Genomic DNA, 12,959 nt, shown 5'->3' with positions numbered 1-12,959 from the left:
TTGTAGGGAGAATAAGAAATAGGCTGGGGTGAAATGGCTCAGGCCTGTAATTCCAGCATTTTGGGAGGCCAAGGCAGGAGATCACTTGAGGCCATGAGTTAAAAATCACCCTGAGCAACAAAGTGAGATCTCAGCAATAAAAAATAAATAAATAGGAAATAAGACAATTCAACTAACCATACAAACAGACAATCCTTTCTTTGTATTCTTAAAGGCAAATAATATTTTGTCCTTCTACCTTTTAGAATCCACAACCAGTAGTAACGTATTTCATTAAAATTCCCTTTTAACATATGAAATGATATGAGACAGATTATGATAAAACCCCTAGTGAATCCAAAGAAAGCAGAAGACTATCTTAACCATTCTAAATATTTTATTCATTTGCCTCCAAAAAGCAACATATATTTAATACATGAGTAATTCTCCAACCCTTACTCCTTTTCCTTCATAGTCTACAAACTGAGTAACAACGGAGATCTTGTTCACCACTACATCTACAGAGCCTATAACCTAACAGTGCCTAGTAAATAGGTGGCACTTAAATATTTATTGTATTATAAGCCTAAGTCTCACAAAGGAAAACGGCAAATATATGAAAAAGAAAGATGTTTCAAGGCAGAAGGAATGCTTCAGAGAGCTACTACCTGCTATCAAAAAGAGAAACTAAAACATGCAAAATTAATTAAAACTTATGGAAGCTATTTTAAATCAGATGGCCACTTTAGAGATGCCTGCTTAACACCATGGACTTATTTTTCAGTACAAGAAGAAAAGTGCTATTCAGGCATACACTGGAATATTAGTGTAAGAAAGCACTATACACCTCTAAAGAAAGTTCTAAACAGTGCCAAGTACAGATGATGCCCCTCAACACTTCCCTTCCAGGTTCATCTCATGCCAAATAACACCAGCAGTTACTAATTTTTTCTAAATTAAACACTTAAACTCACCGCATTAGCAATATGAGGCAACCAGCAGTTACTAATTTTTTCTAAATTAAACACTTAAACTCACTGCATTAGCAATATGAGGCATTTCGTGATTTCAGAGGGGAAAATGTATTTTACAATTTCAAAATAAATTAGCAACTTCTCTGTATCAAGTAATCCCTTGACAGCTATTCAAATCCCATTTAATAGTTAGGAAATGCTATTTACTCATAAGATATTCAAGCTACAAAAAGATCTTACTTATCCATACATATCATGGACACAGTATGTCAATTTATGTATAAATGACTTTTGACAAGTATAAAAGGAAACCAAAAAGGTATTAAATGCACAATATTTTTATAAGCTTCTATTGTTTACCTAGTAACAATGATGGCAATAGAATGTGGAAAAACTATTTGTCCTCATTTGTCAATAAATACTGGCACTATTCCTTTGGTGATGCCAAATATGGCACAAAGACTTGTTCCAGTGAAATAAACCTACTGGTGAACAATAAAGGCTCAAATTAGAAGGCAGATAAAAATTACACTTTTTTTTAAAATTGCACATTATGATTAGAAAACATACTAGGTATGTATTGCAACTTTTAATGCAAATCCCAGTGCAATTTTTTTGTTTGTTTGTTTTTAAGAGACGCGTTCTCCCTGTGTTGCCCAGGCTGGCCTTGGGCCTTGAACTCCTGGGGTGAAGCAATACTCCCACCTCAGCCTGCCAAGTAGTGAGTAGCTGGGACTACAGGCATGAGCCACTTGGCTCCTCTGGTGCAATTTTTAAAATCTTATACGAAGGATCTTTTCTTGGGTTATCAGGGGAGGTGAAGGGGTTAATATTACTAAGAATACAAAACCGAAGTCTATAGTCCTAAACAATGACCCAACTAAAAACAGACACCTTTGGCTACAGATTTCTTTAAACAATAGATATGAAAATTTAATCCCTCCCTTACATGAAAAATAGCCATTTACAATCACTTTTCCTCTTCTAATGTTAAAGCAGGTTTTCAAAAGCACAGTCCTCCTGTTTGAATTATTTCCACATTCTAGTAAATACCAGCTGGTGGGAGCCAATACAGAATCCTTTGCTGAAGATATTGGGATATTGTAGAACAAGAACAGAATAATCCATAATTAGTGACATTGTATCTTAAAGCTCAAACTACTGCAGTTACAGGGGGCAGTGAGATAGTGTTGGCAATCAACTGTAGGCATTAGGGAGCAATTGGTAAAGTAGCAGATCCAGGGTACTATTAACAATCCCATTACAAAGGCTAAACATTTATTTATTTACACAAAATCCTGTAATGAACAATTAGAACATGAATATCAGCTAAGCCAGGACAAATGGTGCAAAACACTGCCCGCAGAATGCAATGTATTAATTTATGAAGTAGGCTATAATAGCCTTTATCATGCAAACCTTGTATTTATAAAAAGTTAAATTAGTCTTACCATGATGGAGTAACTTGAGACTAGCCCTTCCACCAAAACTACTAAAAAACTGGACAAGATACATGAAACAGCTATTCTTGGATGCTGAACAATAGCACCGAACTGTGATCCCTGAGAGAAGACAAGCAAATTACCTGTGCCTTATGATTGTCAAAGCTTTGTATTTTGAGGCAGTTTCCAGACCCCAGCCAGAAAGGGAGAAACTGAGAATCTAGGGAGGGTGGAAACCCAATCAGAAACTTAAATGTGTCTCCGAAGGCTGAAGCAGCTGTAATTTGTGAGGCACTACTACATCTTTACTAAATTAGCTGCACATGTATTAGGTGAGATTTCACGAGGGTAGGCAAAGAACAACCACTGGGTAACAAGCAACTACTTGGGAACTATAAACACAACTACCAGAGTTTACACAGGCATTCTCCTTCTGACTGATTAAAGAGACCTTACTAAACTCAGGCCATTCAGCTGAAACCTTTATAAACACAGCTCAACTAGCCCGAGGGCAAAGGCTCCTCTACAGGCCCAGATGAACAAAGCTTTAAATAAAAACAAGCCTAACGTTGAATTATGGATTTTCTAACATATCCAAAAGTAAAATGTATGACAATAGCAAAAAGAACAGAAGATAGGAAAATGGAGACATAACGCCATAGGATTCTTATACATTAAGTGGTATATAATTTGAAGGCAGAATGTCGTAAGTTAAAGGTATCTACTATAGAGCAGCCACAGAGAAAAATAGAACAAATAAGTATATCTCCACTAAAAGAGGGGATAAGATGAAATATTACAAAATCTTTCATTCAAAAAATGACAGAAAAGAATAGACGGGATGAATAGAAAACAAATGGCAAAATGGTAGACTGAAACCTAACCATATGGATACTCAAACTCAGAGTAAACCCATCATTTAATAACAACAATTAAAAGGAGACTGTCAGCCGGGCGCAGTGGCTCACACCTGTAATCCCAGCACTTTAGGAGGCCAAGGCGGGTGGATCACCTAAAGTCAGGAGTTTGAGACCAGCTTTGCCAACACAGGGGTAAATATACAAAACATAAAATATACAAAAATTAGCCGGGCATGGTGGCAGGCGCCTGTAATCCCAGCTCCTCAGGAGGCTGAGGCAGGAGAATCACTTGAACCCGGGAGGCTGAGGTTGCAGTGAGCCAAGATGGCATCACTGCACTCCAGCCTGGGTGGCAGAGCGAGACTCCATCTCAATGAATGAACAAATGAATGAATGAAGGAGACCGTCAGCCTAAATAAAAAAGCGAGACCTAACTATGTGCTAATCACAAGAAATGCATTGCAAATATATACACAGACTAAAAGTAAAAGGATGGGAAAAAATTATGCAAATACTGTGGTAATAAAGCTACAAGAGTTATATTCATGTTAAAGTAGCCTGGGGGATGGCAAATATTATCAAAATAAAGTGGGACAAGTCATTATAAAAGAATGAATTTACTGAGAAGACATAACAATCCTAAATATGTATGTACCTAAAAACAGAACTTCAAAATATATGAGACAGAACTGGTAGAACCAAATATTTGTCTTTTCAAAGACACAAAACATTCACCACAATAGACCATATGCCTTACCACAAAACAAATCTCAAATTCTGAAATCCTGAAAAAGACTGAAATCCTATAGAGTATGTTCTCTGACCACAATGGAATTAAATTAGTAACAGTAAAATATCTACAGGAAGTTAAACATCAAACTTTTATAATTCATAGGCCAAAAAAGACATTAAAAGAGAAATTAGAAAATATTCAAACTGAATAGTAGTACACAATATGTCATTTTGTGAGCTGCAACTGAAGCACTGCTCAGAGGAAAACTCAGATATTCACAGTATATACAAAAAGGCAACCCTACACTTACTTCTCTCAGTATTAATTTGAAGTGTTTCACAGACCCAAATGTCAAACAAAGCTATAAACTTCCAGAATAAAATTTAAGAAAATATTAGTGACCTTAGGTTTAGAGACAATTCCTTAGATAGGCTTTTAAAAAGATCATTAACTCAAAAAGAAAAAAAAAATAACTGACTACATAAAGATTAAGTTTTTGCTCTCTGAAAGACACTGTTAAGAATGAAAAGGCAAGCCACAAATTACAAGAACATATTTGCAAAACATGTAATTTACAAAACCTGTTATGAAGGACTCATATTCAGAATACATTATGAACTCACAATAAACAAAAAACAACCTATTTTAATGAGCAAAAGATTTGAACAGACACTTCACCAAAGACATATAAATGGCAAATAAGCACATGAAAAGATAATCATCATTAGTCATCTGGAAATTACAAACTAAAACCATGATGATGTATTGCTACAGACCCACTAGAATGACTTAAGTTAGTAAGAATGACAATACCAAGCATCAACAAGGATTTGGAGCCCTGGAATTCTCATGCATTGCCAGTGGGAATGCAAAATAGGCCGTTACTTTAAAAACTATAAACACACTTACCCTACAATCCTGCAATTTCTACTCCTGGATTTTTAACCAAGAGAAATGAAAATATATGTCCACACAAAGATCTATGTTGCAAATATTCAGAGGAGATTTATTCGTAATAGCCAAAAACTGGGCCGGGCGTGGTGGCTCATGCCTGTAATCCCAGCACTTTGGGAGGTTGAGGTGGGCGGATCACGAGCTCAAGAGATCAGACCAACCCGGCTAACAAGGTGAAACTCCGTCTCTACTAAAAATACAAAAAATTAGCCGAGTGCGGTGGCATGAGCCTGTAGTCCCAGCTCCTCAGCAGGCTGAGGCAGGAGAATAGCTTTAACCCAGGAGGCGGAGGTTGCAGTTAGCCGAGATCTCGCCACCGCACTCCAGCCTGGGCGACAGAGCGAGACTCCGTCTCAAATAAATAAATAAATAAACCCAAAACCTGGAAAAAAAAAAAACCCCAATATCCATTAACTAGTAAATAAAGGAATTGTGGAATATCCATACAATGGACTACTACTTAGCAATTAAATGGAACAACTACTGCTTTTAACAATATGAATGATTCTCAAAGCATTATACTAAAATGAAAGAGGACAGGCACAAAATAGTATATCCTGTATGATTTCATTTATATTACATCCTAGAAAAAAGGCAAAATTTGTGCAAATTATACCTCTCTAAGGCTGATTTTTTAACCATGTGGCAGCAAAAAGAGTCAAAGGTATACATATGTGCTCTGGTTAAGACCAGTATTTTCCCTAAATCTTAGTTACAGAAGGCTCTGAGAAGTTAATGACTTGCCCCAAATTAGTAACCAGTGGAAACATGTTTTGGGATATAGATCACTTTACTGTAAATATAAACTTGGAATGTACGCTTTAGGAATGATTAAGAAGATCTGTATAACTAAGACCCTTTGTTTCTGTTTTTGTTTTGAGATGGGAGTCTCGCTGTTACCCAGGCTAGAGTGCAGTGGTGCAATCATGGCTCACTGCTGTCTTGATGTCCTGGGCTCAAGCAACTCTCCTACCTCAGCTTCCTGAGTAGCTGGGACTATAGGTGAGCACCACCACAGCTGGATAATAATTATTATTATTATTTTGTAGAGGGGGTCTTGCAATGTTGCCCAGGCTGGTCTCAAACTCCAGGCCTCACAAGTGATTCTCTCGCCTCGGCTTCCCAGAATGCTGGGATTACAGGTGTAAGCCACTGTGCCTGGCTGACTAAGACCCTTTCGATGGAGCTCCAGAACTATGTTTAACTCACAGTTAAGTATTAAAGGAAGTTTCAATTTACATAGGCAAGCCAGCTAAAACAGTTCAGGCCAAGAGTTGGATGATGTAGCACAGACATCTCAAATACTTAGCTTACCACAATCTTGGCCAATGGTCAAGTTTATTTTGGGACTGGAATATTTAAAAGTCCTTCATATTCTCTGCAGCTCCTACACATTGATCCTATTAAGGCCTTCCAATTCTGAATCTTTTAGGTACTCACCTTTCATTCTCACCTAATGCATTACCTCCAGGCAAATGGGGTGGTAAAGAAGAACTGGACTTTGAAAGGCAACATAATGACAACAGCTTATTAAAAAGCAAGACAAGGCCAGGTTTGGTGGCCCATGCCTGCAATCCTCCTAGCACTTTGGGAGGCTGACACAGGAGGATCGCTTGAGTTCTAGATAAGCCTGGGCAACATAGCGAGAACCCATCTCTACTAAAAATTTTAAAATTAGCCAGGCATGGTAGCGCACACCTGTAATCCCAGCTACTTGGGAGGCAGGAGGATCCTTTGAGCCCAGGAGTTTGAGGCAGCAGTGTGCTATGATCATGCCACTGCACTCCAGCCTGGGTGACAAAGCGAGACTTTGTCATTCATTTCTTCATTCATTCATTCATAAACATAAATAAATAATAAAAAGACAGGAAAACTGATCTTAATACCTAATTAGCCACATCAACTTTAACCTTAGCATAAAAAAAACAAATTAAGACTTTTCTTCATCTCTACCATCAACTCATTTTGCAGAAGTCTAACATTTAATCCACAAGTGGGCAATCCATGAAACCTAAAGCAATTACTACAAGTTCACTAATGCTTACTATACATACCTCACCTCTTCATTTCCTCTTGTCTGACTTTTCACCGAGTTTTTCTCCCCTCTCTTTCTGACCCTTTTATATGTTTATCATAGCTACTTTGTAAGAAAACAATAAAGAGGATATTTATGCCTAATCAGTGAAAAGTACTGACTTTATATCTTTGCTATTGTACTTATTATGGTGATAAGCTCTTTAAGGGAAACTTCTACACTGTATAGGCATAAATAATGGGAAAGGAATACTGATTAATTCTATACCCATTATGAACACTTTTCCCTCTAAGCCATTGAAAAATGGAAGATACTTTACTATTTTCACTCCACTGATCCTGAATATTATCTCATATATAAACTGAGTGTACCTATATATATTGTTTACCCTGAGATTAAAGTCCAAACTATTTTTTAAATACGTAGAAAGCCCACTGGAGAAATGGTCAGACTAACATTAAATATACTGGTCAAAATTCTCAGTTGTAAGTAAAAAAAAAAAAACCCAAATCAAGCTATTTTACACAAAATTAAAAAAAAATTTTTTGAGACACAGTCTCACTCTGTCACCCAGGCTGGACTGCAGTATCGTGATCATGGCTCACTGCAACCTTGACCTTCCAGACTCAAGGGACCCTCCCATGTCAGCATCCCAAGTAGTTGGGACCACAGGCGTGTGCTACCACACCTGGCTAATTTTTTTATTTTTTGTAGAGACAAGTCTCCCTACGTTGCCCAGGCTGGTCTCCAACTCCTGGGCTCAAGCAATCGTCTTGCCTCAGCCTCCCAAAGTGCTGTGATTACAGGTGCGAGCCACCACACCCAGCCCAAAAATCAGAATTTAATGGCTCACAGGATAATGAGATGCTGCGTAGAAACAAGGAAAAAAACTTCAGGACCAGGGCCTCAAAGGCACAGTGCCATGGGATCCATCTCTATCTCATGCTCCTCTTTACTTGTTTGGCCTCATTCTGGTTTCATTCTCTTCCACTGCAGACAGACCTCCTGCCTGGGGTAGGGCAGGAATGAAAGAATCTCAAAAACAAGAAATCCAGTGCATGTTCTATTCCTTTTACTAGTATAATTAAGTGTTGGACGCAGATCCCTAATGTTCAAAAAATATGATTTAAGGATACAACTTAGGAATTATCAATAATCCTACTAAACATAAAAGTTAAGAAAATCTAACCCCTGGCACTGAACCACTAACTTATAATTACAGAAAGTCCTGTCACACATGCTCTGGTTTCTCTTCATAATGAATAAATCTTTTTGCCTTTTACTAAAGATTTCCGTGGAGAGTTGAGGCCTTGCTTAGGCAGGGGTAAATATGAGAAAGAAAAAAAAAGTCTTAACAGGTTAAAAAAAAAAAAAAGGAAAAGAGGCATAAAAGTCAATTTAATGGGCTTATATATATGACAGTTTAGCAAGAAAGAGGGCAATCTCATTTTAAAAATTTACTCAATAACAGCACAAATTTGAAACTAAAGTGTGAGACTCCTACTTTTGGTTATCATATAGTCGCCACAGTAATGACTAAAATTCATGTAGCACTCACATAGCTAACTCTCCCTGAAGAAATGCTTCCTTTCTCAAGAGGTTTAAGTGGAAAGGAATATGAAATTTCTTAACACATCTATGTTCGAAATAACTTTGTTTCAGGAGTAATCACTCTGAAACAACTGAGTGTTAAATAAAAACCAGCAACCCCCAAATCTTTGCTGATCCATCACTTTAACTGATCAGTTTACTACCAACTACAGTATTTACCTTTCCAGTAACACTTCTAGTTCCATACAAACTGTTTTGTTCTACATAACTGCACTGGATTTGGATGTACACTCAGATTTTAAACGATGACCTACATTCAGTGGTGTGTGGGTACCTATAAAACACAGAAAAGGGCCCACTTTCTTTTTTTTTTTTGAGATGGAGTCTCGTTCTGTCACCCAGGCTGGAGTGCAGTGGCACAATCTCGGCTCACTGCAAGCTCCGCCTCCTGGGTTCACGCCATTCTCCTGCCTCAGCCTCCCGAGTAGCGAGTAGTGGGGACTACAGGCACCCACCACCATGCCCGGCTAATTTTTTTGTATTTTTTAGTAGAGACGGGGTTTCACCGTGTTAGCCAGGATGGTCTCGGTCTCCTCATCTCATGATCCGCCCGCCTCGGCCTCCCAAAGTGCTGGGATTACAGGCGTGAGCCACCGCACCCGGCCAAAAGGGCCCACTTTCTACTAATTTCTTTCAAGCTCGATCTGAGGCAAGAAAATGATACTCTGTTTTTAACAAGAAGCAAATTTATGTTTATAATAAAGAATTACATATATGGTGATATTTATTATTCCTTAATACAAAGTTCTGTTATATGCTGAGAGACATACTATTTATGAAAAAATTATAAAAATGAAGAGTTACAATTAATGGAGGGGAGAAGTCCAGGTCCTCGCTTATAATTTTAACAGCCAACATGTATAGAGCCCTCTTTTAAGTGCTTCACCATTTATTAGTCATTAATCTTACTCAACTCTACAAAGTAGGTAATATTATTATCCTCATTTTATAAAGAGGGAAACTAAGGAGCAGAGAGATAAGGTAACTTGCCCAAGTCATAAAGCTAGCTAATAAATAATTTACAGATGCAAGTTTAAACCATATAAGAAATTAAGTAGGAACAACACATATACAGCAAATACAAAAACAAGAGAAAAGTCAAAGCACTCAATCTCAAAAAGGCAGAAACGCAACGTAAATTAAGAAACTAATTTTTTTCTCTCAGTGCAATGAAACCAGGTCTGTATCACTGGGGGTTGGGGGAGTAGGGCAAATAATCTGTGTTCTCAAATTATACAAAAATCTCAAAAAAAGTAACATATTTCTTGTGGGCCAGGCACAGTAAGCCCAGGAGTTTGAGACTAGTCTGGGCAATACGGCAATACTCAGTCTCTACAAGAAATAAAAACTCAGCTGAGCATGGTGGAGGCTAAATTGGGAGGATGGCTTGGGCCTGGGAAGGTCGTGGGAGCCTGGAAGGTCGAGGCTGCAGTAGACTGTGCCACTGCACTCCAGCCTGGGCAACAGAGTGAGAATTTGTCTCAAAAAAAAAAAAAGAAAAGAAAAGAAAAGAAAAATTAACATATTTCTTAAATAAATAAAAGCACTCTTAACTTTTGGGAAGCACATTCTGGAGAAAACATGTATTAAATAAATGACAGCACTTTGGAAATTAACTTTTTATTCCTAAATATGCTTTAAAGAATACAGCAAATAGCTAAAAGCAATCCTTCATAATTTTACCATGTTTAGCACTTTTTACTGAGAAATAGAAAGTTCTACAATAATCAAAGTGGATCAATCTATCACTGTGGTATACACAGTCACTTAGTCTTATCTCTGAAAAATATTTTCAGATTATGTAAATGTTTTATCTCTGAGCTACCCTTCAACAAAATGAAAAAGACATATTCCTGCTATTTCCGCAAAGGGCCAACAATCAATTTGTGGTACTGATAAAAGATTAATTTGCCACCTAGAACAACGTATAGCCATGAAATTCAATTTAGAAACAGAGCTGCAATCACTCTAATCCACCAAAACAATCAACAGTTAACTATTTCAGAGTACTGAAGCAAATCCACTTTCATTCTATTTTTACTCCTAAAGTGTGCAATGCTAGTAAGGAAAGGGTCTGTTCCTCAAAACTGAAATGATTCTGGTCTTGCTTTGGTTTCTTCTGGTCTGTTCTAGCAGGAAGCAGTAGCTACAGTGTCTGACATGAACACGATACTTGTGCTTACTACTAAACTATGTATATTCCCTTAGCTCTAGAAAACTAATATGGCATTGAGCTTCTTGAGTTACCCTCAGTCACTATAAGGCTGTTCTCATCCAGGTCCGTAGAAGGAAAGCTTCCACCACGGTTACTCCCATTCTGAATCCTCAACTTGTTTCCCACCCCCAGGTTTTACAAGGTTGTTAGGAAAAAAAATCTTACTTGCATCCGACTGTGGAAGTCCTTCCTACCTATATACCATTACTCTTAGGAGGTACAAGCAAGATCTCATCTAGATTTCTTGGCTGCCTTCTACCAATGTAATCATAGCACGAAGCTTTGAAATGTGAGATCCTGAGACAGGTCACTCCTTTCAAAGTGTCTATCATTACTCCTTGGTGAGTCAGCTGCTGGACTGCTGCCAGTGTGCTCTTTGTTGGCTTTATCATGAAACCATATTCCTGTAGAGCTGGAATGGTGGCCAAAACACTGCATTTCAGAAGACTCCTTCAAAGTGTGTATCAAAAAAAAAGATACAGATACACATCCAAGCAAGCCATTCACTTGTTTTAGTAAGAGAGGGAATGAATAATACAAAGGAGGTTAAGCAGTTTTGTTAAAAGATTCTCTTATGTGCAAGCATCCAAAAATATCCTGTAAAATCACTTGATAATTTTCTTTGAGTAGATTTTATGCAAATGGGTACATTTAAAATTTTTTATGCCCTTGAGGAAAGAAAACTCAACTTTTCTGTCTCAGGTAAGAACTCTGAAGTTAAGTAAAAGCTTGAGATACTCAAGGATTCTCTGACGGTCCATCAACTATCGGTGAAGGGGGAAAACATCTACTCTTTAGTAAGTAGCTTTAGTAATGGGTTTTAGAGGAACCCATCAATAAAAAAGTTTGTAATTTTTTTTTTTAAGACAGAGTCTTGCTCTGTCACCCAGCTGGAGTGCAGTGGTGCTATCTCGGCTCACTGCAAGCTCTGCCTCCCGGGTTCACACCATTCTCCTGCCTCAGCCTCCCAAGTAGCTGGGACTACAGGCGCCCACGACGACGCCCGGCTAATTTTTTGTATTTTTTTAGTAGGGACGGGGTTTCATTCTGTTAGCCAGGATGGTCTCGATCTCCTGACCTCGTGATCCACCCGCCTTGGCCTCCCAAAGTGCTGGGATTACAGGTGTGACCCATCACGCCTGGCCAAATTTTGTAATTTTTAGGATGTTTTTGGATTTTGTTTGTTTGAGACCGAGTCTCACTCTGTCACCTGGGCTGGAGTGCAGTGGCGCAATCTCAGCTCACTGCAACCTCCGTCTCCTGGTTTAAGCAATTCTCCTGCCTCGGCCTCCCGAGTAGCTGGGATTACAGATGCACGCCACCATGCCCGGCTAATTTTTGTGTTTTTAGTAGAGACGGGGTTTCACCATGTTGGCCAGGCTGGTCTCGAACTCCTGGCCTCAAGTGATCCATCTGCCTCTGTCTCCCAAAGTGCTGGGATACAGGCATGAGCCACCACACCAGCCAAATTTTTAATTTTTATAAGGTGAAACAATGTTCAGAATGGGGAAAGGGGGAGTAGATATAGGGCAACTCAAGTAGTTCCACAGTACAGGAATGAAAAAGCTCCTAGCTCTGAATAAAGTAATGGATAGTAATAATGCTTTCGGGGTATAAAAAGTGAGACAGGCCAGGCACGGTGGTTCATCCCTATAATCCCAGCACTTCGGGAGGCCGAGGGAGATGGAACACTTGAGGTCAGGAGTTGGAGACCAGCCTGGCCAACATGGTGAAACTCCGTCTCTATTAAAAATACAAAAAAAAAAAATTAGCCAGGTATGGTGGCACACGCCTGTAATCCCAGCTACTAGGGAGGCTGAGGCAGGAGAATTGCTTGAACCCGGGAGGAGATTGCAGTGAGCCAAGATCGCACCACTGCACTCCAGCCTGGGCAACAAAGCAAGACTCCGTCATAGATAGATAGATAGACAGATAGATAGATAGATAGATAGATAGATAGATAGATAGATAGATAGACAGACAGACAGACAGACAGACAGACAGACAGACAGACAGACGGATGGATGGATAAATGTGAGACAAATATATTTGTGTACAGTACTGGTCTCTTTAGAAGACACCAAAGTTTTTCCTATGAACTTTGAAAACAAGCCTGGCACAGTGGTACACACCTAGTCCCGGTTACCTGGCAGGCT

At 38.7% G+C, this 12,959-nt stretch overlaps 1 protein-coding gene and 1 pseudogene across 3 annotated transcripts in view, besides 3 other annotated features; one reads left to right on the top strand and one right to left on the bottom strand.

Moving 5' to 3' along the window:
- Positions 1-12,959, bottom strand: part of MTMR3 (myotubularin related protein 3) — a 147,695-nt gene that overhangs the window by 111,802 nt on the left and 22,934 nt on the right. The gene's annotated exons all lie outside the window — the stretch shown is intronic.
- Positions 5,502-6,484: an enhancer, noted in NCBI's record as "H3K27ac hESC enhancer chr22:30308572-30309554 (GRCh37/hg19 assembly coordinates)". NCBI's record gives its function as "activates a minimal SCP1, AML or CMV promoter by ChIP-STARR-seq in naive H9 embryonic stem cells {active_cell/tissue: H9 hESC(naive)}" and the evidence as "EXISTENCE:reporter gene assay evidence [ECO:0000049][PMID:30033119]".
- On the top strand, positions 8,227-8,279 carry RNU5F-5P (RNA, U5F small nuclear 5, pseudogene; annotated as a pseudogene).
- Positions 11,350-11,849: an enhancer, noted in NCBI's record as "H3K4me1 hESC enhancer chr22:30303207-30303706 (GRCh37/hg19 assembly coordinates)". NCBI's record gives its function as "activates a minimal SCP1, AML or CMV promoter by ChIP-STARR-seq in primed H9 embryonic stem cells {active_cell/tissue: H9 hESC(primed)}" and the evidence as "EXISTENCE:reporter gene assay evidence [ECO:0000049][PMID:30033119]".
- Positions 11,850-12,351: an enhancer, noted in NCBI's record as "H3K4me1 hESC enhancer chr22:30302705-30303206 (GRCh37/hg19 assembly coordinates)". NCBI's record gives its function as "activates a minimal SCP1, AML or CMV promoter by ChIP-STARR-seq in primed H9 embryonic stem cells {active_cell/tissue: H9 hESC(primed)}" and the evidence as "EXISTENCE:reporter gene assay evidence [ECO:0000049][PMID:30033119]".

This window comes from Homo sapiens, chromosome 22 (assembly GCF_000001405.40).
Source record: "Homo sapiens chromosome 22, GRCh38.p14 Primary Assembly".
In the NCBI taxonomy this organism is placed as follows: domain Eukaryota; kingdom Metazoa; phylum Chordata; class Mammalia; order Primates; family Hominidae; genus Homo; species Homo sapiens.
Note: the sequence above shows the minus strand (reverse complement) of the source record. Positions and strands in the feature narration are given on the sequence as shown.